A 27550-nucleotide genomic window follows, 5' to 3' on the forward strand; every position below is an offset into this window, starting at 1 on the left:
TGGCCCCGGGCAATGGGGGACTTAGCACCCGGGCCAGTGGCTGCGGAGGGTGTACTGGGTCCCCCAGCAGTGCCGGCCCACCGGCGCTGCGCTCGATTTCTCGCCGGGCCTTGGCTGCCTTCCCATGGGGCAGGGCTCGGGACCTGCAGCCCGCCATGCCTGAGCCTCCCACCCACTCCATGGGCTCCTGTGCGGCCCGAGCCTCCCCGACGAGCGCCACCCCCTGCTCCACAGCGCCCAGTCCCATCGACCACCCAAGGGCTGAGGAATGTGAGCGCACGGTGCAGGACTGGCGGGCAGCTCCACCTGCAGCCCCAGTGCGGGATCCACTAGGTGAAGCCAGCTGGGCTCCTGAGTCTGGTGGGGACATGGAGAGTCTTTATATCTAGCTCAGGGATTGTAAATACACCAATCGGGACTCTATATCTAGCTCAAGGTTTGTAAATACATCAATCAGCACCCTGTGTTTAGCTCAAGGTTTGTGAGTGCACCAATCGACACTCTGTATCTAGCTGCTCTGGTGAGGACGTGGAGAACTTTTATGTATAGCTCAAGGATTGTAAATACACCAATCGGCACTCTGTATCTAGCTCAAGGTTTGTAAATACACCAATCAGCACCCTGTGTTTAGCTCAAGGTTTGTGAATGCACCAATCGACACTCTGTATCTAGCTGCTCTGGTGGGGCCTTGGAGAACCTGTGTGTGGAAACTCTGTATCTAACTAATCTGATGGGGATGTGGAGAACCTTTGTATCTAGCTCAGGGATTGTAAACGCACCAATCAGTGCCCTGACAAAACAGGCCACAGGGCTCTACCAATCAGCAGGATGTGGGTGGGGCCAGATAAGAGAATAAAAGCAGGCTGCCCGAGCCAGCATTGGCAACCCGCTCGGGTCCTCTTCCACACTTTGGAAGCTTTGTTCTTTCACTCTTTGCAATAAATCTTGCTACTGCTCGCCCTTTGGGTCCACGCTGCTTTTATGAGCTGTAACACTCACCGCGAAGGTCTGCAGCTTCACTCCTCAGCCAGCAAGACCACGAACCCACCAGAAGGAAGAAACTCCGAACACATCTGAACATCAGAAGGGACTGACTCCAGACGCGCCACCTTAAGAGCTGTAACAGTCACCGCGAGGGTCCGCGGCTTCATTCTTGAAGTCAGTGAGACCAAGAACCCACCAGTTCCGGACACACTTTCACCTGGCTCAGAGCTCAAATGTAATCTCCTCAGAGTGGCCTTCCCTGCTCCTGCTACCTAGAGTAGCATCTCCCCGTCTCACTCTCTCCCTTCTCCTGCTTTATTTTCTTGGTAAAATATCATTTCAGAGCACGAGGCTTTCTTTAAGCAAAGGACAGACATTTTGCTTATTGCTCAACTAGTTTTTGAGCTCATCCTGAAAAAAGTAGCTTTTTTGTCTTTCACTTATTAATTCAGTCAAAAAATAATATTACTGTCTAGCAGGCTGGGCGTGGTGGCTCATGCCTGTAATCCCAGCACTTTGGGAGACCAAGGTGGGCAGACTCCCTGAGGTCAGCAGTTCGAGACCAGCTTGGCCAACATGATGAAACCGCGTCTCTACTAAAAATACAAAAATTAGCCAGGCATGGTAGAATGTGCCTGTAATCCCAGCTACTTAGGAGGCTGCAACAGGAGAATCACTTGAACCTGGGAGGCAGAGGTTGCAGTGAACCAAGATCGCACCATTGTACTCCAGCCTGGGCAAAAGAGTGAGACTCCATCTCATATATACTTGAGATGTATATATATGTATATATGTATACTTTTATATATATGTATACGTGTATATATGTATGTGTATACATGTATACATGTATGTGTATACGTGTATACATGTATGTGTATGCATGTATACATGCATGTGTATGCATGTATACATGCATGTGTATGCATGTATACATGCATGTGTATGCATGTATACATGTATGTGTATGCATGTATACATGTATGTGTATGCATGTATACATGCGTGTATGCATGTATACATGCGTGTATGCATGTATACATGCGTGTATGCATGTATACATGTGTGTATGCATGTATACATGTGTGTATGCATGTATGCATGTGTGTATGCATGTATGCATGTGTGTGTATGCATGTATGCATGTGTGTGTATGCATGTATGCATGTATGTGTGTGCATGTATACATGTATGTGTATGCATGTATGCATGTATGTGTATGCATGTATGCATGTATGTGTATGCATGTATGCATGTATGTGTGTGCATGTATACATGTATGTGTATGCATGTATATAGGTGTACATGTGTATGCATGTATATAGGTGTATATGTGTATGCATGTATATATGTGTGTATATGTGTACATGTATATATGTATGTGTACATGTATATATGTATGTATGTATACATTATGTATACATATCTGTCAAGCATAATGTCAGAATTAGCAATATTGATTAAATTATGTAGTCCTTGAAGGTAGAAACTCTTTTTCACTATTGAATCCTCACCACCTGGCATACAATAGATACTCAATAATTCCTTGTGTGGGTGATAAATGAATGGGATTCCATAACAAAGTTGATCTGTGTAAGACTTTTATTTCACTCTTTCTATAAAATTAAGTCCACAATTTTTCCATGGATCCTTGCCCAAGACCACATGTTGAAAAGAACTTATACGAATGGCAGATAGCATCACGGCTAAAGAAATAGAATCTTTTGAAGACAATAACTATTTTACTTTTAAAATTGCTCACAAATTAAAGAATGCTGGTAGAGATAACAAAGATGATTTCCAGGAGTAAGAGGCCATCATGCAGTTTGTGATTTCCAGATACTTTTGCAGAAAGGCAACCATGCTGTAGAGTCAGTAGCAGAGTTTTCACCACCTGTCTAAGACAGAGGAAAATGACCCCAAAAAAAAAAGGCAACTTCAGGCCCTTCTTCAAAAATGCAAATCCAGGGCTACTTCCAGCTGTCTCCATAGCATGGCAAAACAATATTCCCAGCCAAGCTTCAAGCCATTAAGAAAAACCATCACAGCTGTGCGCGGTGGCTCACGCCTGTAGTCCCAACACTTTGGGAGGCCCAGGAAGGCGGATCACGAGGTGAAGAGATTGAGACCACTCTGGCCAACATGGTGAAGCCCTGTCTCTACTAAAAATACAAAAATTAGCTGGGCGCGGTGGTGCATGCCTGTAGTCCCAGCTACTCAGGAGGCTGAGGCAGGAGAATCGATTGAACCTGGGAAGCAGAGATTGCAGTGAGCCAAGATGAAGCCACTGCACTCCAGCCTGGTGACAGAACAAGACTCTGTCTCAAAAAAAAAATAAAAGAAAAGAAAAACCATCACATATGTTTGGCAGGGGCCAACATATCCATGGGGTTCAGTAGGCCCACAGTACTTCCAGGGACCCACAAAAGTGTTCTAATAACATTTAAAATCAGAAGAAAAAAATGAACTGTTAAGTCAAAGGAAAAATGTTCTAATATATAATATGTTAATACATAATATCATTATATTCATCTTTATACCAACACAGTCCTAAAATATTACTTTTGATTTTTTTTTAATGGAGGAAGAAAACCTTGAAAGCAAAAGTGCCTAGGGCCTGTGAAAGTCATCACATGACCCTGATTTGGCGTCTGCTTTGCCTTAAAAAAGCATTCTAGACAGATATTCAGCTGGAAATACTGAAATGGGCTCATGCCAAAAGAACTAGATCTCTTGTTATCCAGAAAACCATATTTTCTAGGCAGATTCATTTCCCCCAAGATGCCTAAGAGTCATGATAACATATTTTAGAGGCGAGATTAATGCGATCGCCCCATAAAATATTTTAAGCTCTCATCTGTTCTGAAACAAAGTACGCAACATGTCACCAAGAGAAAATGACTGCTCATACCGAGAAAATGTATTTTCTTCGAGGTGCCACAGCCACTGTAATTTGCACCTCCTGAAGTGTAGATGGAAGTCCCCTCAACATGTACAGACAGTTAAAAGAGTCACGGTAATGATAGGACTAGAGAATGTGCCCAGCTGAGAAAATAAGCACACAGCGAGCATTGTCAGAGCTGAAAATTAAGATCCCCCAAGCAAACATTTCAGATAGAGCCCCTCATCTTTTGTTAAAAGTAAAATGAAAATCAACAGCCCTCTACACCACATCTGAGCCATGGAAGTCACTCCCTTTAGGTGTCTAAGAGACGACTGCAGCTTCAGTGCCTGGCTCAGATTAGCTTTGTTCTTCCTTGTCTCTTATCCTTTGAATAGCTCTGACAGTGCCACAAGGAGTAATTACCAATTCGCAGGGGGACACATCTTCAGTTAAAGTGGATTATCTGCAAGTTGAGGGGTGGGGGTTGCTGGCGGCTACAACTGAGTTAGGTATTAAGTATAATCTGCAAATGCAGGGAGAGTTCTGCAGAGCCCCAGGCAGTTCTTAACTTTCTAGAAGTAGCTCCCAGCTGAGGCCTCCCCTGGTCTCCAGGCATCTGGATAATGTCTTAACTGGTAGAGTGATGGTTAAGAGCATGAGTTTTGGGGGCAAATTTCCTGGTTTTATGCACTGGCACTTCCTAGCTCATGTGATTCTGGGCAAGTTACTTCACTACAGTGAGCGACAATCAGAATGGGTCCAAAATTGTACCAGCCATAGCAAGGTGCTGCAGATGTAGCAGGACGAATTGCAGACAAAACTCAGACACCAAGTTAAAGAAGGAAGAGGTTTATTCAGCCGGGAGCATCGGCAAGACTCCTGTCTCAAGAGCCAAGCTACCCGAGTGAGCAATTCCTGTCCCTTTTAAGGGCTCACAACTCTAAGGGGGTTCCGTGTGAGAGGGTCGTGATCTATTGAGCAAGCAGGGGGTATGTGACAGGGGCTGCATGCACCGGTGGTCAGACTGAGACAGAACAGACCAGGAAGTTTCACAGTGTCTTTCTATACAATGTCTGGAGTCTATAGATAACATCAGTTGCTAGGTCAGGGGTCGAATTTTAACTACCAGGCTTAGGTCAGGCGGGCCCAGGCCTGGTTTCGGGTCTGGTTCCTAGGCACTGGGCTACCTGCCTTTAGTTTCGCTTCTCTTTCCTTTTCTGATTATAGAACAATATAAAACAATATGAGAGGGTCTGTCTCTCTTCTCTCACAAACATTAATAAGACATTGTGTTTCAAATGCTAAGCATACATCTAATACATGGTAATAACCCCAAGAATCTTTAGCTGTTACCATTATATTTTTATATTTTTTTTAATTAAAATTGAATCCCTTTTTTTTTTTTTTTTTTTTTTTTTTTTTTGTCTTTTGTGACAGAGTGCCTCTATTGCCCAGGCTGGAACGCAGTGCTGTGATCTTGGCTCACTGCAACCTCCGCCTCCCAGGTTCAAGCCATTCTCATGCCCCAACCTCCCAAGTAGCTGGAATTACAGGGGTGTGCCACTACACCTGGCTAATTTGTGCCACTACACCCGGCTAATTTGTGCCACTACACCTGGCTAATTTTTGCATTGTTAGTAGAGACAGGGTTTCGCCATGTTGGCCAGGATGGTCTCGAACTCCTGGCCTCAAGTGATCCAAAGTGCTGGGATTACCAACATAAGACATGGCACCCAGCCTCTGTTATCATTATTAAGCATTCATTTAAGCCAAGATCTAAGGGGAACCAAGGCCCAGTAGCAAATCTGCTAATACTCAGGAAATGGGTTTGTGAGAAATGTTGCTGTTCTTTATCATTATTATTATTATTATTATTATTATTATTATTATTACTATTACTGCTACATTCACTATGAGAAAACATTCACGTCTCAGAAATAACAGTAATAAGGGGTAAGCATTGCCAGGAGGAGGCAGAAGGCACATACTGGCCAAGTCCGGCTCTACGCCCTGTGTGTACAGATATGTCTTCCAACTTTCGAAAAGTCTTTGTAAAGGTTTTCGCTGATTTGAGCTGTTTTCAGCTAAGTCACCAGAACATCCAGAATCTAATTTTAAATGAAGGTTATTATAATGTCCCTCAGTTTCGTAGCCTCTTATTCAAGAGAGATTAGAATTCTGTGAAGGAAAAGCTTTGTTTTAAGTTCCAAGGGATGTAAAGATTTGCTAGGCTGTCTTTAAATCCCATTTGGGAACTCACCATTTATATAAAAATGGATGACATATAATGTGTCTTTGGGAACAGTGAACTCTGAAGAGAAAGATATGGTCAAATGGCCCGGCCTCCTCCCACCTCGGAGGATACACTGCACCCTCTTCCTACCCCTGATTTGGCCCTTTCACAAATCTCAGCTCTAGACTGAGGCAGAAGGACATAAAGATGCCCATTTCCAAAGCTCTCCGGCTCCCCAGTGCCTCTGGTTCTATCCATCTTTGTGACCTGACGTCTCAGTGGCTGGGTCCCAGATAGGGAGCTCTGGTCTCCGGTTCCTGGAGGCTGAGCCTGAATCCCTCCACGCAGAAAGAGAGTCAGGGACAGCACCGGGGGCTGAATCCCTGCCCCACCTTCTAGCAGAGTGACCTCAGTCAGGTGACTTTACTCCTCAGGCTGTTTCTTTTCTGGATAACAAAAGGTCATTCAACCCCATCTTGTGGATTTTCTGTGGAGATTTAGTTAGATAAAGGACTGGCACACAGGGTGAAGTGAGGCAGCCTTCCCCTCTTCCGCACAGTGCCACACAGAACAGGGGTCTGAGGACTTGCCTTCTCCCCTGCATGGCTGGTCCCCCCCTACCCCTGCCCTTCCCTGGTGTTTCCACCGCACCCCACCAGCTGGAATGACATCCAGGATTGAACTCAATAGCCCCTTGGCTTACAGGGCCACTTTCTCCACACCTACCCTGGCAGACTTGATCTCATATTTGCTTTCAGTATAAGATCCAGTTGAGCATCCTTCCATTAATGCCCCACAGAACAAGTCTCAGCCTTCTCCCTGGTGCCGGCCTTTCCAACACCTGAAGGCAGTGACGGTGTGCTTCTAGAGTCTTCTCTTCCCCACATTCAGCATCCACAGTTCCTTCCAGTCTGCTTCACATGACACCGTCTCAAGCATGGTGCCATCCTCAAAACACACCCCGGTTTATTATTGCTTTCCTGCTCAAGATGCTCTGTCCAGAACTGATCACCTCTCTGGGGTATGCTGACCACCCCAGGGGATGGTCTCAGAAACCACTTTCTAAATTGGAATATAGACTCCATCCTTTTCATGACTCAGTCAGGTCTCACTCTTAATTCCTAAATCCCAAATAATTAACAAAAATACCAGAGTCCTGAGGGGTTGCTGGAAAACAAAACTGGAAAAAAAAATCCAGTTTTCTTCTATCAGCCCCATTGTCCCAACAAAGGAGGGGGAGAGGAGGCTACGTGCAGTTACCAGGTGTGTCCTATACAATTTGGTATTGAAGGTGATTGGGGTGGGGGAAGGCACGATGGCATTTCCAAATATAGAAATTGGTTATTCGTTTCTGCTAAACTGTATTTAGTTATATCTAGGGAAATCATTTCAGCCTCTCGGAGTCCCTTTGGCTCACGATAATGTCCTCTTGAGTGGAGCCATCCCTTTTTACTAAATGCCATATGGCACATTCATCAATGTGCCATTGATGTCTTTATCCAAGTTAATAAAATGATTAAATGTAGGCTTGGAATCACCACTAAAATTCTCCTTGAAGCCAATTTCTACCTATTTATCAAATTCCACCACTGTTCATCTCATGATTAATCTACCTTTAAAATACTCTCATGCATCACTGAACGACAGGGATACGTTCTGAGAAGAGTGTCATTAAGCAATTTCATCATTATGCGAATACCACAGAGTGCACTTACACAAACCCAGAAGGTGCAGCCTTCTACACACCCAGGCTCTGTGCTACAGCCCATTGCTCCCAGGCTGCAGACATGTGCAGCACGCCACTGCACTCAATACTGTAGGCAACGGTAACACAACGGTATTTGTTCACTAAACATAGACAAAGTATGGTAAAAATATGATATAAAAGATAAAAATTGGCTGGGCGTGGTGGCTCATGCCTGTAATCCCGGCACTTTGGGAGGCCGAGGCAGGCGGATCACAAGGTCAGGAGATCGAGACCAGCCTGGCCAGCATGGTGAAACCCCGTCTCTAGTAAAAATACAAAAAAAATTAGCTGGGTGTGGTGGTGTGTGCCTGTAGTCCCAGCTACTCGGGAGGCTGAGGCAGGAGCATCGCGTGAACCTGGGAGTTGGAGGTTGCAGTGAGTCAATATCACACCACTGCACTCCAGCCTGGGGACAGAACAAGACTCCGTCTCAAAAAAAATAAATAAAAAATAAAAGTAAAAATTGGTACCCCTATATAGGACACCTAACAGGAATGAAGCTTGGCAGGACTGGAAGTTGCTCTGGATGAGTGAGTGGGTGGTAAGTGAATATGAAGGCCTAGGACATTATACTACTGTAGATTTTATAAGCACTGGACACTTTGGCCACATTAAATTTACCTTTTACAATTTTCTTTCTTTAATAATAAATTAACCAGCTGGGTGCAGTGGTTCATGTCTGTAATCCCAGCACTTTGGGAGGCAGAGGAGGGTAGACCACTTGAGGTCAGGAGTTAAAAACCAGCCTGATCAACATGGTGAAACCCCGTCTCTACTAAAAATACAAAAATTAGCCTGGTGTGGTGGCATATGCCTGTAATCCCAGCTACTCGGGAGGCTGAGGCAGGAGAATTGCTTGAACCCAGGAGGCAGAGGTTACCGTGAGCCGAGATTGTGCCACTGCATGCACTCCATCCTGGTCAGCAGAGGAAGACTCCATCTCAAAATAAATAAATAAATAAAATAAATTAACCTTAGCATACTGTACCTTTTCTAACTTTATAGACTTCTTAATGTTTTCAAACTTTTTCACTTTTTCATATTTTTGTCTAACACTTAGATTAAAACACAAACACATTATACAGCTGTAAAAAATATTTCTTTTTATATGCGTATTCTATAAGATTTTGCTATTTAAAAATTTGTTTTTAACTTTTAAGACTTTTTTATTGAAAACTAGGACACAAATGCACACATTTGCTTTGGCCTCCACAGGGTGAGGATCATCAATACCACTGTCTTCCACCTGCACACCTTGTCACACTGGGAGGTCTTCAGGGGCAGTGACACACATGGAGCTGTCATCTCCTGTGATAACAATGCCTTCTTCTGGAATAGCTCCTGAAGGACCTGCCTGAGGCTGTTGTACAATTACCCTTTTTAAAAATAAAAAATAAAAAAAAAGTAGGCCAGGTGCAGTGGCTCACACCTGTAATCCCAGGACTTTGGGAGGCTGAGGCAAGCAGATCATGAGGTCAGGAGTTCGAGACCAGCCTGGCCAACGTGGTGAAACCCCGTCTCTACTAAAAATACAAAAATTAGCCAGGTGTGGTGGCGGGTGCCTATAATCCCAGCTACTTGGGAGGCTGAGGCACAAGAATCGCTTGAACCCAGTAGGTGGAAGTTGTGGTAGCTCAGATTGTGCCACTGCACTCCAGCCTGGACGACAGAGCGAGACTCAGTCTCAAAAAACAACAACAACAAAAAAGAAGTATACTCTAAAATAATGATAAAAAGCACATTATGATAAATGCCAGGCAATAGAAAAATTTCAGCTCCATTATAATCTCCTGGGACCACCCTCCTACATGTGGTTCATCCTTGACCAAAGCATCATTATGTGGTGCCTGACTGTACTACTCAAACATATTACAATGAGACCATATCTATTTGTCTTGACCACAAAAATGTCATGAGAAACTTACTAAAATGCTTTGCTGAAATTTAGATGGCCTCTCTCAGTGCTCTCCCACCTAGGAGGCTATTACCCCAATCTGAAAATAAAGGAACTGGCTTTAGGGGTTCAGCAGTGAGAATAGGTGTTGACAGGAAGAAGTATCCAAAGGCCTCCCAGTGGGTCTCCGGACTGTGTCCCTTGGTGGCATCCAGGGTGGTTGCGATCGTATGGTTTAAATTTTGTGATGATCCACTGGAGCTTCAAGTTCAGCCTCAAAGCATTAGGCTCTGTTTTCTGAACATCATTTTATATGGCAAGGTCCCGAGATTCTAATTTTTTCTTGTGTTAATTATGTGACATGGAGCGTCAGTTAAGGGAACCATCCAATACACTTTCCAGAAACAGTTCTCCCTCTCAGTTTCTTCGTGTGCTTGACTGGCTCATGGCCCTGGGGAAACCATCGCTTTCAATCCCTACCTCAGGTCCATTTCGTGATGTTTATGCATTCATGCGATCTTAGTCCTCAAAGGATTTTTTTTTCTTCTCTTGGGTAAGATAGCTTTAGAGGCCTTCTGGGATAGGAATTATAATACAACTGAGAACAAAGGAAGAAAAATAAAAAGTGAACTACTTTCTGTTTTACTGAATCATTCAACTTGACATTATCTGGAAATACAAAAATTTGCTAACACACTTTTCCTAGCCTACACTTTGTTATGCTGCTTGTGAAATGTATGAGGTCAACACCTTTCTACCCTTTTTTCCCCATTGTCGCAAATTCTCCTGCTGTCCAGAGTTAGTTTCAAATGACCCTCTGCTAGTCTTGGCCGGCATACCTACCAGTGGCTTGGAGAGGAATTAAGGAAAAGCTTGAAAACTGAAGCTCATTTTTTTGTATGGTGTTGGCTAGAGTTTAACGTGGTTCTCCAAAGCCAAAAAAACATTTTAGCAGAAGCGGAGCACACACAGAGATAAATTATTTTTCTGTACTACATTTCAGTTGGTAATTTCGTACACAGGATTCTATTTCTGCTGCTATCAAGATAAAATGCAAAAGTGGAAACATTCCAATGAGTAAGAAGCAGGTCTGTTCATTCCCAGCTCATGAGAAACTCAGGACGCACATTAGTGTTCTGTTTCCCAGCAGCAAATAGCCAGGACATATAGCTTCAATTTACTGGGATTCGAAGAAGTCAAATCAGACCTGATTTCCCATGAAGTAAATCATAGCACCCAGCTCTGTGGTTTGAGTGACAGGTACATCCATTATTCTGAAAGGTCTTGTTACTTTCAGCAGAGCTTGTTATTCTTAGCCCTAAAAAATCATGCCATGTGACAGGGCACCTGAGGCTGAGGAATGGGGCACCAGCACCTTCCAGGCTTTCTATCTTACATCTGACAACTTGAAACATCCAGGAAAGAAGTGGAAAATCCACATATCAGATGTGTGCTCCTACCCATTCCAAATGTCTGGTGTTTGGGAAACATTTAAGGGATCATAAATTCTCTTTTGTGTCAATGTTTTTGGTACTGTGTAATTACAACTATATATGTATAGTTATGTATATATGTATGTTATACTATATATAAAACTATATATAGTTACATATATGTATATATACAACTATATAAATATATAAACTATAAATATAAAATATAAATATATATATTTTTATATATATATAGTATATTATATATATACAATTTTTTTTGAGACAGAGTCTTGCCCTGTTTCCCAGGCTTGAGCGCAATGCCGTGATCTCGGCTCACTGCAACCTCTGCCTCCCAGGTTCAAGTGATTCTCTTGCCTCAGCCTCCCGAGTAGCTGGGATTACAGGCGTCCACCACCACGCCCAGCTAATTTTTTGTATCTTTAGTAGAGATGGGGTTTCACCATGTTGGCCAGGCTGGTCTCAAACTCCTGACCTCGTGATCCACCTGCCTCGGCCTCCCAAAGTGCTGGGATTACAGGCGTAAGCCACCATGCCCGGCCATTACAACTATATTCTAAGATTAACTAGCAATCATAAGTTTTTTGTTTTCAGTCTAGATTTTAGAAATGCGAATGACACCAGGCCCAACACTTTGGGAGGCCGAGGCAGGTGGATCACGAGGTCAGGAGTTCAAGACCAACCTGGCCAAGATGGTGAAACCCCCTCTCTACTAAAAATACAAAAAAAAAAAAATTAGCCAGACATGGTGGCGGGCGCCTGTAATCTCAGCTATTCGGGAGGCTGATGCAGAGAATTGCTTGAACCTGGGAGGTGGAGGTTGCAGTGAGCCGAGATTGCGCCACTGCACTCCAGCCTGGGTAACAGAGCAAGACTCCATCTCAAAAAAAAAAAGAAAAAAAGAAACGTGAGTGACAATTTCAACCTATTTAGTATCCCCAAAAGCTCAGGAGCTGTGATAAATTGATACAAATAAAAATGTAATACTTCATCTTTTTGCAAAATAGTGCAGTGGGCTCTATGAAGACATTTCTTTTTATTGTTGACTCTGGAAAGAAAAAATCCAGTTTTGTGTTATCAGTCCTTAGAAAAAGATTTATGAGTTAAAATGCAGCAGAGGCCAGGTGCAGTGGCTCCCATCTATAACGCCAGCACTTTGGGAGGCTGAGGGGGATAGGATTGCTTGAAGCCAGGAGTTCGAGACCAGCCTGGGCAACATAATGAGACCCTGTATCTACAGAAAATTTTTAAAAACAAGCCAGTCATGGTGGTGTGCGCCTGTAGTCCCAGGTACTTAGGAGGCTAAGGTGAAAGGATCACTTGAGCCCAGGGGTTCAAGGGTACAGCGAGGCCTATGATCACACCGCTGCATTCCTGCCTGGCTGACAGTGAGACCCTGTCTCTAAAAATAATTAAAATTCAAAATGTGGTAGAGACACTAGAAGGAAAAATGATTCTGCTTCTCCCAGCATTCTGCCTCTGCATAATTGAGTTAGTGCATTTCATAGGTCAAGAACTATTTAAATTACACCTGCATATTTTAGTCCTGCATATTTCTTCATAAGAGAGAAAAGCATCTAATAAATACAATGAAATTTCATTCATGTCTTTATTTAAGGGATGAATAAAATGTCACAGTACCTAATCGTATACATCAATTATGGATCCAGATTTAATTCTGGCTGTGCCTCTTTGGAAAGGCAGCTGATGAGCAAGACATCACTGATCAAAAACTGCATTCTGTTAGAGCAGGAGCTGACAGGGAACCTAGATGCCAGCATTTCCATGCCCTGCCTGATGTTTACCATTTGATCACGTTCGAACTGAGGAATGAGGCTTATCGGATTTTATGTTGCTTTTTTTAGATGAATGCTCTTGGCTTTTTGTTGTTGTTATGGTTACTTCCCATTGATTTATTCCACTAACCATTTAGACTCCCGTTCATTCACCTACGGCCAAATGGGACTAGAATGGAAAAACGGAATCCTACCCGATCAATGCAAATTCTATTTCTCTCTCTCCAAGAGGCCCAGATGACCAGCCCTGACACTGGGAGCCACTGGGAGCTTCAGGTGCTGGCCCAGCAGTGCCTGGCCATGTTTTCAAGTGTACATCAGGTGACCACTCACCTGTTGTACTTCAGTCTGATTTTCCAAGGAGTATTTAAAACCACCCAGGCAGTGATTTCAAACCGACTTTCTACTTATTCCACAAGGTACCGTCGAACCACTGTTCTACGTGTGAGGCCTGTGGAGGGTTTATACAGCAATGAGTGTTCAGTGTTAAGTCCTGCCTTCCTTCATAGAAGAGAAATTTATCAGTTCCTCTGGGTGTCAGTTTTAGAGCAATACAACAACGTTTTGAAAGACAAATCCATTTTTAATGAGACGGACAGATTTTCAGGTAATAGTACTGCTAGAAATAACATATAATGATCTACTGGTTCTGAATACACTGCTGAATTCCTGAATACGCTGAAGACCTCCCCCTCCTCTTTCCTGGTTATGTTCTGCACCTGTTTACACTATGAAGCTGAAAAACAAACTTTGACTATAGCTAACTATGATTGTTCTAATTTCCATAGTACTTGATCCCCTCCCACACACCAAACTATGAATGACAGACTGCTGAATAGATGGTTTCAGTCATAGACCGTCCCTGACTTATGGTTCCACTTAGAAGTTTTCAACTTTACCATGGTTCAAAAGTGATATGCGTTCAGTAGAAACCGTACTTTGAATACCCATACAACCATTCTGTTTTCCACTTTCAACACTTTATTATAAAATAGGTGTGTTAGATGACTTTACTGAACTGTAGACTAATGTAAGTGTTCTGAGTATGTTTAAGGTAGGCTGGGCTATGCTATGATGTTCAGTAGGTTACGTGTATTTAATGCATTTTTGATTTACAATATTCCCACCTTACGATGGGTGTATGGGGAGGTAACCCCATTATACGTTGAAAAGCATCTGTATATTCATTCCTACAGTCACTGGTGATTACTTTGTCCAAGGCATTATTTTGGGGGAACACAAAGAGAAGTGACATTTAGTCCCAGCTGTCAAGAAAACTTTAATTCTAGGAAAGGCACAGTTGCGGGCCTCTGGCCCATCCGAAGAGAGCAGGAACACACCTGGTCCAGTTAGGTAGAGCCGGGAGCAGAATCCAGGAGGAAGCCCCACTCAGCGGGGGTCTCTGGTGTTCTAAAGTGATGGATAGTGACTGGTACTAAGTGTGAGGGGAGAGGGTGGATTACACCTGAATAGTACAGAGGCTCTAAGGCAGAACATCCAGGGACTTAGAGAGACGTCAAACTCCTCCACAACAATGTTCCCCAAACAAGAGTCATTTGAGGACCAATGTCACGATTTTTGCCATTTCTGATGACATTTTTACCATTTCTAGTGGCCTCCTTTACTGTTGTTTACTTAACATTTTCCTTTAAATGGACTCACTATTTTTACTTAAATAAATTTATGTTAAAAAGTTTATGTTAAAGAGAAATTTTGCAATACTACCATGAAATGAAATGCCAGTACCGCTTGCTGTCACGATACGGTGGTGCTAAAAATACGTAATATAAAAATATAATGAAACTCAGCACTGTTGCCCACCGAAGCATCCAGGTCTGAGGTCTGACCTCTCTTTGTTAAAAAGGGAAAATAGCAAGTATTGGCACCATAATAAAGATAGTCCAGCCCCACACTGAGCCGGCCTGAGACTCTGAGAAATTGAAAGGGAATCGGGGAAGGAATAAGACTGGATGTTATTTAGCTCCCAGTCTGTGAATTACCTAAAGACCCCCAGTGCCACCAGTGCGACATACTTCACCCCAGAACAGAGGGAAGGAACAGAATGGTAGGCAGTGCTTTGGGGCCAGTTGTACTACAGTCTCTGCAGAGCAACCATATGCTGTGTCAGGGCTGGAACCAGGTTTGGCCATCTGTGTTGACCCCACAGATTCTATGAAGGGTGACTTCCACAATCCCTAGCACACTGGGGAGCACACAGTACATACTTATCAAAAGTCTTAAATTAAGTCTCACTGATGCCCTAAAATCTTCTGCCTGTTTCATAAAAAGTAGAAAATGAAGTTGACAGTGATTCTTTGTATCTCATAATATCACATCGCCCTCCCCAAAAAGGAACATTGATAGAAAACTATAAGATATAAAACCTAACAAAAATCATCTGGTGAATAGATCCCATGGAATACACAAGAAGAAGATATAGGTGCATTTAAATAATCTCAAAGGAAAAGAAGAAATCTCCTTTGAGAAGTCACATCTAAATGCTTATCCAGGCTGGGCACAGTGGCTCATGCCTATAATCCCAGCACTCTGGGAGGCCGAGGTGGGTGGATCGCTTGAGCCTAGTTGTTTGGGACCAACCTGGGTAACATAACAAAACCCCGCCTCTACAAAAAAATACTAAAAAAAAAAATTAGTCGGGCATGGTAGCACACGAGTGTGGTTCCAGCTACTCAAAGAGGCTGAGGTGGGAGGATTGCTTGAGCCCGGGAGGTTGAGGCTGCAGTGAGCTGAGATTGTGCCTTGCACTCCAGCCTGGATGACAGAGTAAGACCCTGTCTCATAAATAATAAATAAATAAATCCCTGTCCAAATAAATAAATGCTTATCCAATCGCTGAAAAGGAGCTCAAGCATGTACACGAGGCCCCAAGCACAGCTCTGTCCTCCGTGGAGCTGGCTTTATTCTCCCAGTGTTTCCTGCTCAGGTGCCCTTTTCTCTTTCATTTCTCACAACACTCCCGCCTCTCACTTGGCATTCAGTAACTGAACAAGGAGCGGGAAAGCATGCTAATGCATCGCAAATGGAGTTGCTGCATTTCCTTAAAAGGACTGTCATGAGCATTTCATTTTAACGTATTACCCGGAATTGTGTCAGTGTTTTAAGTGAACTATTTTCTGTAATCCATATCGTTATGAATATAAGACATTAACGTACTGATTGCCACTTGAGAATCTCATTTTAAAGTGATTGTACTGCATTTCTAAAATTTGCATTTTTAAAGCAAGTTTCCCCCACAAATAACACCTTACCCAAGACACCTCCAGGCAGAACGTTGTTTCTTACAGTAAATGATATTTTAATATTTGGTTTCAGTAGAGACCAGTCTAATCAATTATAGAGTAACATACTTTACTTGTAATAAATTCAAAAAAGTGATAGCTATACTGTCATTTGTAGATGTTCTTAAGAAATATGGAATCTTATTCCAGACAGGCATTTCTATAACTTTGTGGTGCTATCAATGATGCTAATGAAGATTTGACATCAGTTCACCACATTTTTGAAAATCAAATTGTTGGCTCAGCCGCTAATGAAACACAATCTCAAAGCAGTTTTAACAACCATTTACATTTTTTCTGAAAACCTCACTCTACCGTTTCTATGGGGTCCCTGACTAGAAATATCAAAAGTCTACATGAATATAAAACAATATAGTCTATTTTTCAAAGAGAAATTGAGACTGATGCAAAATATTTGACTTCTTTTTTTTTTATATGAAACATAAATGTTTATTCATTGGCAAAGCCTTAACTTCTCTAAGCCTCGTTTCCCTCATCTGTCACTTGGCGGGTAATCCTATTTAGCTCAGAGGGTTACCAGGAGACTTAATGGGATACTGCATAATAAGTACTAAGCACAGTGCCCCCCATCATGTACTGCCCTTGGTCTGTGCTCTAATATTGAAGCAGGATGCTTCCCTGACCGCTTTGTGGGACTTGCAACAGGGGTGCCCTCAATTACCCAGCCCACAGCTTTCAACTCCTCATGGGAGGAAGCACGCATGTGAATGAGGCAGGAACTGGAGTGCATGAATGCTGAAACCAGCCAGCCACTTAGGTACTGCCAGGAGCAAACGCCACTCACTTGGACCCACTGTGCTCCACCCCTTGCAGGGGTAAGCACGCGGGTGAGTGGGTGCAGGAGCCAGGGTGAGCGCTTTTGAGCGCCAACAGGAGTGAACTCTGTGCAGGCTCCGTGGCAGCATCTAGGGGTGGTGCCTGCAACCCCTGAAGCCCCAGAGGGCATGTTACAGTGCTTTTAGTTCTGCTGTCCCCAGACAGCCTAAGTATCAACAGCTCAGTGGCTTTTCACGTAAGCTGGCTGCCTTCTGCCAGTGAGTACAAAGGGCAAGTGTGACAGCCTTTTGTAGCCACACTAGCAGCATCCGAGCTCTTGTCCCACATCCAGGAGAAATGACATCACACAAATTGAAGGATGACAAATGTAGGGGATTTTTATTGCCGATGAAAGTGGCTCTCAGCAGGAAGGGAAGTTGAAAAGGGGATGGAGAGGGAAGGTAATCTTCTCCTGAAGTCCAGCCATCTCTGGCCAGATTCTTCTCTGATGTTACGTGTCAAGCTGTCCCTCTGAAGTGAAGCTGCTTCTCTCCAATGTCTAACCATAGTCACCAACGTCCAGCTGCTTCTCTTCTCTCTGCCAGCTGAGTATGGGGTTTTTATAGGCACAGGATGTCAGGGGGCAGGCCCATGGGTGGTTTTGGAAAAGGCAACATTTGAGCTGGAAAACAGGGATGTAAGTTCTCACTTTGGGCTGCAGTTTCTGGCTTGAGGGTGAGGGTTTGACAGGGACCCGCCCCTTTCTGCCTAGATTTTCTCTGCCACCTTTCTCTACCATTGTATCAATATTATTATCACATGGCCCTGAGTTGGAACCATCAGGTCCTGCAAACTCCAGAGCATCTACTTACTGCACATTGGCCCCCCCCCAGGGGAATTGGTCCCAGCCAAGGGTCTCTAGGAAAGAGGCACATCAACTAGATGTGGAACACACTCCGGTTTTGGAAGTACTGGTTCTGTTCTCCAGGGCATCAGAATCCTCCTTTTTGTGACCCTGCTGCCTTACAGGAAAGAAACAACAGTTGAAACACTGGGAATTTTCCCCAATAGGGAGAAGGCACAGAAAGGAGAAAGCTAAAGAAGAGAGTGAAAGAGGCCCAAAGAGAATGGAAAAGTGAGAGCAGGCCATTTGCCAGGGCTCATTCCTGCCATCCAGCCCCAGCTTCTGGCTGCTCAGTGGACGCTTCTGCCAATGCTCACAGCCCCACAGGCCTGGGCCCGGGAGCCTCTGCTGCCACCCGTGGTTTCTCTCCCTGTTCCACCATCGGAACCCCGTGCCCCAGGCTCTCTCCCTTGAGGCCACCTCAGAAGGAGATACCAAGGGGAAGACAGCTCTTTAAGAAGTGTAGACTCCATGTTAAATTGAGACCCCGCAGACAGATACGGCTTTGAAACAATTGATTTTCTGTGGTGTCATAGGGAAACCTGCCCTCCTCAAAGTTGCGAAAACTGTCAGGGACCCTATGAAATGGAGCGGGAGTCACAAGTTTTCTACCCAGCTCTAAAAGAGGAGACAAAACTAACACTGGTTCACAATAGATAACAGAACGGCTTCAGCAAAGGGCAAGCAAGCGTAGAGAGATGCTGGAGAAGAACAAGGCACTTTATCCATGTCCCCCACAGCACCCTGCCTCAGCGCCGGGGCAAAAGAATCTTTGTGTGAGCCCAGGGAGTCGGCAGGGACATGAGGGGTTGATGCGGCACTTGCTCAGAGCAATCGCAGTGCTGCCGCTGGAATTATCTTTCTCACACAGTTCCCAGTAGTGGTTAAAAGGCTCTGAGGTCAGTCCGCCTGGCCCACTAGCTAAGGGCTCTTAAGCATTTAAGGACTCTTTCAACATTTGTTTCTGTTAGTTTCTAAAACTTGGAACAGAGGGCCATTGATTTAACTGGTATAACAACGTGTGGGTACATTGCACTTGTTACCTTGGAAATGCCTCTACTCAGTCTCACCTCTGAGCTGAGTTAGTTTGGGAAGATGTTGAGCCTACAGGTAGTGGGGAGATGGTGAGATTCACCAAGGCATGTGTTGTTTGTGATTGATTGGGTTGGGAAAGTTTCCTGACTGCCAAAACCTCCATCAGACACTAGCCGGGGATTCTGTAAATCTCAGAATTCCAAGGGGATTGGATTTTGAAGAAAGGAGATGTTCACGTACAGGCTACTAGAATTCTTGTTCTTTTTTTTTTTTTTTTTTTAAAGAATTCTGAAGAAGAAAATAAGTAAGAGATCTAAAACAGAACCATATTTTGCCAGGAGGGCAGAGCAGGGCTGCTTTGTTCAATTTGTTAAGAGGGTCAGGGAAGCATCAGAAAAGATAAGGAGAAAAATCAATCAGAACCAAGTCACTGTTGTGAGTTTCGGCAGCGTCTGAAGTAGCCAGAAGGTACTGAGAAATGTATTTTATCACATATAGTCTTATTTTCACCCTACCGTATTTTCTGTTAACACAAGGTTCCTTTAAAGTCAAGTATGCAGCCCTAAATCTTATCGACCCATTAATATTTCATCCAAAACAATGTAACATCTTAAACTGAAACCTAAATGTAAGCTTTGGACACAAGCATTCAAAGACAGGTATGTTGTACAGCTGGACTATGGTGAGTCAAGTAACATTTTCATTTCTTTTTTTCTTTTAGAAACAGGGAAAATTGACCAAGAGATTCACAAATACAACACCCCAGGATTCACTGGTTGCCTCTCCAGAGTCCAGTTCAACCAGATCGCCCCTCTCAAGGCCGCCTTGAGGCAGACAAACGCCTCGGCTCACGTCCACATCCAGGGCGAGCTGGTGGAGTCCAACTGCGGGGCCTCGCCGCTGACCCTCTCCCCCATGTCGTCCGCCACCGACCCCTGGCACCTGGATCACCTGGATTCAGGTAAAGTCTTCAGCAACCTCAGGCAGGTTGCTTCATTTCTTTAAACCTCAGTCTCTTGGGACTATGGAATGGATTTAATAACAGAACCTCACTGGTAATGTCATTGGAGGATTAAGAAAGGGCAAAGGAACGTTGTGAGTACGGAGTTCTCAGGGCAGCACTTAGCACATCTGAAATACTCAGGGCCAGAAATAAATAAGTTGAAGGTAAAGAATGTAGGAAGTATTAACTCTTCAATTAGGTTAAATGATGACTTGCCTAAACTGATGTCTGCGCCATGACTGTGGGTGATTTGATCAATTCACTGTCTCACTTTTGCCTCTTATGACTCTTAATGACTTGCTGTAACATAATCTGTGTTTTAATTTAAGAAGAGATTTACCTAAAGCAATATAGAGATCCGTCTCCTGGCTCTGTATTTATATGAATAATACTGGTGGCTTCCAGATCTTTAAGAGGTGCCTTTAAGCTTGCAAAACTCTGTGGATTTAGTCCCACTTCTTTGAGTGGGAAGACATGTAATTTGAAAGCACAGGGCTCAAATGAAAGGATGTAGCTGTTGGCTGAAAAATTAATTGGATGAAAAGAGTATACACATAACCCTGGGTGGGAGACAGCCTATTAAGCTGTATCTCAGGAGACTTAGGTCGTACTCCTAGCTCCACCTAAATTGGCCTTGGGCAACTCAAGTGACCTGCCCAAGCCTCTGCTTTTTCACCCATAAGGTGAAGAAGGGGAGGGGAGTGTAACCTCTAAGTGACCTCCGAATCCAACATTCAGTGGGTCTCCAGGCAACATGTGATGTTGCTGAAGCTAAAAAGAGGAAGAAGATGAGGCAGGAAGCAACAGCTAGGAGGCCTGGATTCCAGCACCATCACTGCCTCTCACCAGCAGATTAACCTTAGGCAGTTTTCATAACCTCATTCCTCAGTTTCCCCACTTCCTAAATGGAGATAAGACCTAACCCTTGGAATTCTATTTAAAGTGATGTGTTTAAATCTGACGTGTTTTATCACAAGCGTTAAAGTTTAGCTACAATAATATTAATAATCTAATATTATTATATTAGACACAATTTGCTATAATGCTTGAACCTTGAGTAAAGACTTCCAAATCCTCTCCCCCTGCAAACTTGTAATTTGTAACAGTTCATTCTCTAAACCTCGTGCATTTGATTGCTTTAATCATGTTCCGGCCCTGCACATGGAGTGTGTGGCTTCAGTGCAGCCATTGTCATTGTGATTCCTTGCCAGGGCTGTGCTGCAAAGCTTTGTGAAGCTTAGAGAGAAGCCAAAATTGCCCTGTTGTCAGAATAACCCATTTACAGACGAAACAATCCTCTTTGTTCCTCACACATGGATTCCTAGAACTTGACGCGGGGCGCTGTGAGCTAAGGGCACGTATGAAGAATTCCCTTTTATGAATGTTGTTAAGATTACACAGTGGGCTGGCTTGAACAAAGGAAAGCATTCCTAATGCTGAAAGAAGAAAAGTAAGAGTGAAAATACAAGAGGAGAAAAGACATGTCAGGGCCACAGAGGAACAGAGATCTCTCAGATAAATTCCTCCAAATGCCCGAGTAGACAAATACCGTGAATGATCTTTGCAAGGCAGGAGTCCTTCCGCTGTCAAAGGGACCCACTGCCTGAGGCTGTGAGCACCTGTGGTCTGAGTCAGGGCCAATAGACTAGTTTCTAAAACATCTAGATCCTACCTTGGGCCAATATGAGTTTTATGTATTATTACTTAATTAGGAACTTGTTTGTTAAGATCTGTGAGATATGACTGTAGGGACCAAAGAGTTTTTGTTCCTTTACTTTAAAAAAATCATGCTTTGAGTGTGACAGGTTTTTTTTTTTTTTTTTTTTTTTTGGAGACAGACAGAGTCTCACTCAGTTGCCCATGCTGGAGTACAATGGCACCATTGCAACCTCTGCCTCCTGGGTTTAAGCGATTCTCCTGCCTCAGCCTCCTGAGTAGCTGGGATTACAGGCACCCGCCATCATGCCCACTTAATTTTTGTAGAGACAGGATTTCACCATGTTGGCCAAACTGGTCTTGGACTCCTAACCTCAGGTGATCCACCCGCCTAGGCCTCCCAAAGTGCTAGGATTACAGAGTGCTAGGATTACAGGATTCTTTTGATTGATTTATGAAAATGTATATAGGGAACATATCTGTATTTGATGTTCAAATCCAAATTCTGTAATTCTGATATTATGGTAGGCCTGTGCTATGTAACATGAGATCCATTTGCAGAAAAATTTCCACTTACACTTGGAGAGTTCTTACCCAGTGTCCAGCAGATGAAGTATTAATGCAATTGTCATTATACCAATTACAAGGACAGAAAACAGTTGACCGGGCTCGGTGGCTCACATCTGTAATCCCAGCATTTTGGGAGGCTGAGGTGGGTGGATCATGAGGTCAGGAGTTCGAGACCAGCCTGACCAACACGGTGAAAGCCCGTCTCTACTAAAAATACAAAAATTAGCTGGGCGTGGTGGCGCACGCCTGTAATCCCAGCTCCTCAGGAGGCTGAGGCAGGAGAATCGCTTGAACTTGGGAGGCAGAGGTTGCACTGAGCTGAGATGGTGCCACTGCAAGACTCTGTCTCAAAACAAAACAAAAAAACAACAGAAAACAGTTTACAAACTATAAGGCAGAGGTTTATTGAAATAATATGATTTTCCTCTTTTAGGTGAATAGGAACATGAGAGACAATGTGGGTTGAGGGGCTGGAAGGGGCAGAGGACAGACGTAGAAATGAGGGAAGGTTACTTAACAGCAGCCTCTGGTTGCTCAGTGTCAGGGAGGAAAAACTTTTCCTCTGTCCTCTTAAGTTCAGTACCTGGGGGCCTGCAAATTAAGCTGATAAAAGACAGATTAACAGGTGGGCAGGGGGACCTTATTTATATGCATATAGGAGCTTGAAAAAGAAGAAACTCAGTAAGTAGTTAAAGCTAGAAACTTATATGCCCAGCTTAGTAGGGAAAAGAGGCAGTGGGGGAAAAGGCCTCTATAGGAGGAACAGATGGATTTCTAGAAGAACAAATGAGAGATAAAGAGTTTGTGATAGTGCTTGTTCATGCAGGCCTGAGTGATCTCTGTATCTCATTCATGGCCATAAAACTTCCCTGGAGAGAGGACTTACGGTAGGTTTCTTGATCATCTTCCTGGGAGTAAAAGCCACCCGTAAGAGGGAGGTATGGCAGCCTCATTTTTCCAGAAGTCTCTGCTTTTTGTCAGATAAAGGAAGCACCAAGAAGGCTTCTTTCTGCACCTATTGAATCCCCAGTGGCTTCAGTTTAAAATGAGTTCCATACCAACTCGGGTTCTAAGTGCATCCCTCACATCAGCAATTGCACTCTGGTTTCGTGAGCCTAAGGTCATCATTCTGAATTTGGACTTTACGGTTTTGCACTTTTCTGGTAATATTTCATGTTTGACTAGAATAAGATTCCTTGCTATCAGATATTTAAAAACAAAACAGTATATACACAAAAATGCCTTTCTACCTGTAAATAACGTGAGGTACTTGAGTCTGTGTAGGGTTAGGATGGAAAGAAAATAACATGAGAGCTCGTGAGTCCTGGCTTGACTAGAGGACATTTGGAAGTAGATTATCTCATCTGGTGCCTTGGAAGTTTATTCCTCAACAAGCAGCAATGGGTCTCCTGGAAGCTTTTTTAGAAATGCAGAATCTCAGGCCCCTCCCCATACTGACTAAATCAGCATTCGTGTTTTTTAGCATGGTTCCCAGGTGACTTACCACTGCAATTTAAAAGCTCTAATCTTGTATAGTGCTTCTCAATCTGGGAAGCACTTTAAAACTACCTGGGGAGCTTTTTAAAACCCAAAACTACCTGGGGAGCTTTTTAAAACCCTGATGTCAAGACTATACTTCTGTCAGAGGTGTCTGAACCAGAGCAACTCCATCTCGAATAGGGGCTGGGTAAAATAAAGCTGAGACCTACTGAAAACTGGTTGCAGTAAAGAAGCCAGCTAAAACCATCAAAACCAAGATGGCAATGAGATTGACTTCTGGTCATCCTCACTGCTACACTCCCATCAGCACCATGACAGCTTATAAATGCCATAGCAATGTCAGGAAGTTACCCTATAGGGCCTAAAAAAAGGGGAGGCATGAATGATCCACCCCTTGTTTAGCATATAATCAAGAAATAACCATAAAAATGGGCAACCAGCAGCCCTTGGGGCTGCTCTGTCTGTGGTGTAGCTATTCTTTTATTCCTTTTTGTTTTATTATTATACTTTAAGTTTTAGGGTACATGTGCACATTGTGCAGGTTAGTTACATATGTATACATGTGCCATGCTGGTACGCTGCACCCACTAACTCATCATCTAGCATTAGGTATATCTCCCAGTGCTATCCCTCCCCCCTCCCCCCACCCCACAATAGTCCCCAGAGTGTGATGTTCCCCTTCCTGTGTCCATGTGTTCTCATTGTTCAATTCCCACCTATGAGTGAGAACATGCGGTGTTTGGTTTTTTGTCCTTGCGATAGTTTACTGAGAATGATGATTTCCAATTTCATCCATGTCCCTAGAAAGGACATGAACTCATCATTTTTTATGGCTGCACAGTAGTCCATGGTGTATATGTGCCACATTTTCTTAATCCAGTCTATCATTGTTGGACATTTGGGTTGGTTCCAAGTCTTTGCAATTGTGAATAGTGGAGGAGGAGAGGTGCTCTGCTTTTTAGAGTTTCCAGTTTTTCTGCTCTGTTTTTTCCCTATCTTTGTGGTTTTATCTACTTTTGGTCTTTGATGATGGTGATGTACAGATGGGTTTTTGGTGTGGTTGTCCTTTCTGTTTGTTAGTTTTCCTTCTAACAGACAGGACCCTCAGCTGCAGGTCTGTTGGAGTTTGCTAGAGGTCCACTCCAGACCCTGTTTGCCTGGGTATCTGCAGCGGTGTTTGCAGAACAGCGGTTTTTCGTGAACTGCGAATGCTGCCATCTGATCGTTCCTCTGGAAGTTTTGTCTCAGAGGAGTACCCGGCCATGTGAAGTGTCAGTCTGCCCCTACTGGGGGGTGCCTCCCAGTTAGGCTGCTCAGGGGTCAGGGGTCAGAGACCCACTTGAGGAGGCAGTCTGCCCATTCTCAGATCTCCAGCTGCGTGCTGGGAGAACCACTGCTCTTTTCAAAGCTCAGATGGAAATGCAGAAATCACCCATCTTCTGCGTCGCTCATGCTGGGAGCTGTAGACTGGAGCTGTTCCTATTCAGCCATCTTGGCTCCTCCTATTCTTTTATTCCTTTACTTTCCCAATTGATACAGTTTGACTATGTCCCCACCCAAATCTCATCTTGAATTCCCATGTGTTGTGGGAGGGACCTGGTGGGAGGTAATTGAATCATGGGGGCAGGTCTTTCCATGCTGTTGTCGTGACAGTGAATAAGTCTCACAAGATCTGATGGTTTTATAAAGGGGAGTTTCCCTGCACAAGCTCTCTCTTTGCCTGCTGCCATCCATGTAAGACATGACTTGCTCCTCCTTGCCTTCCACCATGATTGTGAGGCCTCGCCAGCCGTGTGGAACTGGGAGTCCATTAAACCTCTTTCCTGTATAAATTACCCAGTCTCAGGTATGTGTTTATTAGCAGCATGAAAACAAACTAATACACTAATAAACTTGCTTTCACTTTACTCTATGGATGCACCCTAAATTCTTGGATCTTGCGTGAGATCCAAGAACCCTCTCTTGGGGTTTGGATCAGGAACCCTTTCTAGTAACACTTCCATGCACCATTTCTATAGTTTCTTACCAGAGAAGTTTCTCTGAACATGTGGAGCACCGGAAACCACGAGGAGGCGGCTCAGCATTCACTCCTGAGCATGAAGCTGGCTCTTGGTGGTGCTTCTCTGCAATTGCCTTTTGCTGCTGATGATCACTCTTCTCTTCCTTTGGGAGAGTGAAAGGGAAAGGAAGCCATCTGAAGGGTCTTCATGGTTATTTTTTAAAAAGAAAAATCCCAATATCTAGTACTAAACCCCTGACGGACCAAATCAGACCCTCGGGGGGATAGGAGGGACACAGGTGTGTGTGATGTAAACCCCCCTCCCCAGGAGTGTCCAGTGTGTGACCAAGGTCAAGAATCACTCACCAAATGAAAGAAGGGTCCCTTTGGTAAGTGCATCAAAATAAGGTTACCAAAAGAAAAAACTGAATACCCAAATACTGCCCAAAACATGGTTTATGAAAAACAATAAAGCCGTTAGGTGGTTAAATCACAAATAGTAAAGGCTGTACCATCAAGCTTGCAAAGAGACCAGGCTCTCCGGCCATTTTATAAGGAAGCTCACTCAGAGGAGATGTTTTTACCTAAACTTGAGGAGAACTGATCTGCCTGTTTGCAACTGGAAAGCAGACTTGAAACAAACAAATGAACAATAAATTTGCAGTGTGGGGCAGGACTCGGTGGCTCCAGTGAAAGCACCTCATTATGAGGAAGATGTGAAATTATTACTGTGTTTTGAATTGGCTGCTAACCTACTCTGAAAGATAGAAAAAGATGCTGCTTTAAAATGAGGGCTGTGCTTTTCTGAAAATACAGCAGGTGCCTTGCTGTGAAGAGTAAGGAATCATATGGCCTTATGGTTAAAGGGATCTTGGCAAACCAGGGCTACTCAATCCATACCTATACCAGGATGTTTGCATACCTATACCAGGATGTTTGTTTTGCAGGAACTTGGTGTTAGAATGGAAATTAGAATTGAAGACATCTACCCATAGGTCTGGTGATCTTTCTGCTCCCATACCTGTCTTTCTACTGTCTGAGATCATAGTAAATGATAAAAACAGAAAATAGGTTCTAAGGTATGCTGGCTTTAGTAATAAGATTCTTTTTCTCATCTGTAACACTACTGTTACACTTCTATAACAAACACTATTTGTTACCTCTCCAATGTCCTTTGGGCTCTATCAGTGTTTTCTAAAATGAGGGACATTTATGTTGGTCAGGTTGTGCACTGCACAACTATAACAGATGTCATTTGTAGTGCAGTCTCTGGCTTCTGGAGCAGTGCAGCATGTAGCCTAGATAGGGGGTCGCCATTATGGGAAGCAAATAGACATGGCCTCGTGTAACATACAAAGCAAGTCATTTCCTGTTCATTTGTCTTTCAGTCCTTCTGATTTTATAAAGAGAAAGTCTCTATTTGGTTCTGGCACGCTTTTAACACCTCTCCCATGATTGTATTTTACCTTATAATAAAGAGAGAACAGGCTTCTGGTTAGTGCCTCACAGGCAATAGAATTACTCAGTAGGGATGTAAAGTTTTATCAATAGATTTATATAAATAAGAAATTTAACCAATTTTGTGAAAATAAGTAAATAAATAATACTTGGATTTTACAGTATATGTCAAGAAAAATATGAAGGTGATTTTCACATGATTGGAGTTTGGGAAACACTGGGCAGTAGAGAAAGATCACCCCAAGCGCTAGGGCCTAGCATGGGGCTTTAAGAACACATTTTTATAGGGGGATGAGGTAAACAAAAGACTTACACATTATGATTTAAGTTGACTTGATTTAAAACAATTCTGCTCTA

The 27550-nt window shown here is 43.6% G+C and overlaps 1 protein-coding gene, 1 long non-coding RNA gene and 1 other non-coding gene across 5 annotated transcripts in view, besides 2 other annotated features; 2 read left to right on the top strand and 1 right to left on the bottom strand.

Annotated features, from left to right (window-relative positions):
* Positions 1–27550, top strand: part of CNTNAP2 (contactin associated protein 2) — a 2304198-nt gene that overhangs the window by 2247120 nt on the left and 29528 nt on the right. The window contains exon 22 of the mRNA NM_014141.6: positions 19729–19968. Coding sequence (NP_054860.1) covers positions 19729–19968 — 240 coding nt within the window. The remainder of the gene's footprint in view (positions 1–19728; positions 19969–27550) is intronic.
* The window catches only part of LOC105375554 (uncharacterized), a 55130-nt gene continuing 45297 nt past the window's right edge, over positions 17718–27550 (bottom strand). For 2 of the 3 annotated variants that reach the window (XR_928094.2, XR_007060576.1), the window contains exon 4: positions 22616–25899. This is a non-coding gene — a long non-coding RNA (uncharacterized LOC105375554). Of the gene's footprint in view, positions 17751–22615; positions 25900–27550 lie in introns of those variants that run through there. The other variant, XR_928093.3, reaches the window with a different exon arrangement.
* Positions 19383–19884: an enhancer, noted in NCBI's record as "H3K4me1 hESC enhancer chr7:148080395-148080896 (GRCh37/hg19 assembly coordinates)". NCBI's record gives its function as "activates a minimal SCP1, AML or CMV promoter by ChIP-STARR-seq in naive H9 embryonic stem cells {active_cell/tissue: H9 hESC(naive)}" and the evidence as "EXISTENCE:reporter gene assay evidence [ECO:0000049][PMID:30033119]".
* Positions 19885–20386: an enhancer, noted in NCBI's record as "H3K4me1 hESC enhancer chr7:148080897-148081398 (GRCh37/hg19 assembly coordinates)". NCBI's record gives its function as "activates a minimal SCP1, AML or CMV promoter by ChIP-STARR-seq in naive H9 embryonic stem cells {active_cell/tissue: H9 hESC(naive)}" and the evidence as "EXISTENCE:reporter gene assay evidence [ECO:0000049][PMID:30033119]".
* LOC124901859 (small nucleolar RNA U3) lies at positions 25725–25939 on the top strand. Its single transcript, XR_007060686.1, has one exon. It is a non-coding gene; the product is annotated as a small nucleolar RNA U3 (small nucleolar RNA).

Source organism: Homo sapiens, chromosome 7, assembly GCF_000001405.40.
Source record: "Homo sapiens chromosome 7, GRCh38.p14 Primary Assembly".
In the NCBI taxonomy this organism is placed as follows: Eukaryota; Metazoa; Chordata; class Mammalia; order Primates; family Hominidae; genus Homo; species Homo sapiens.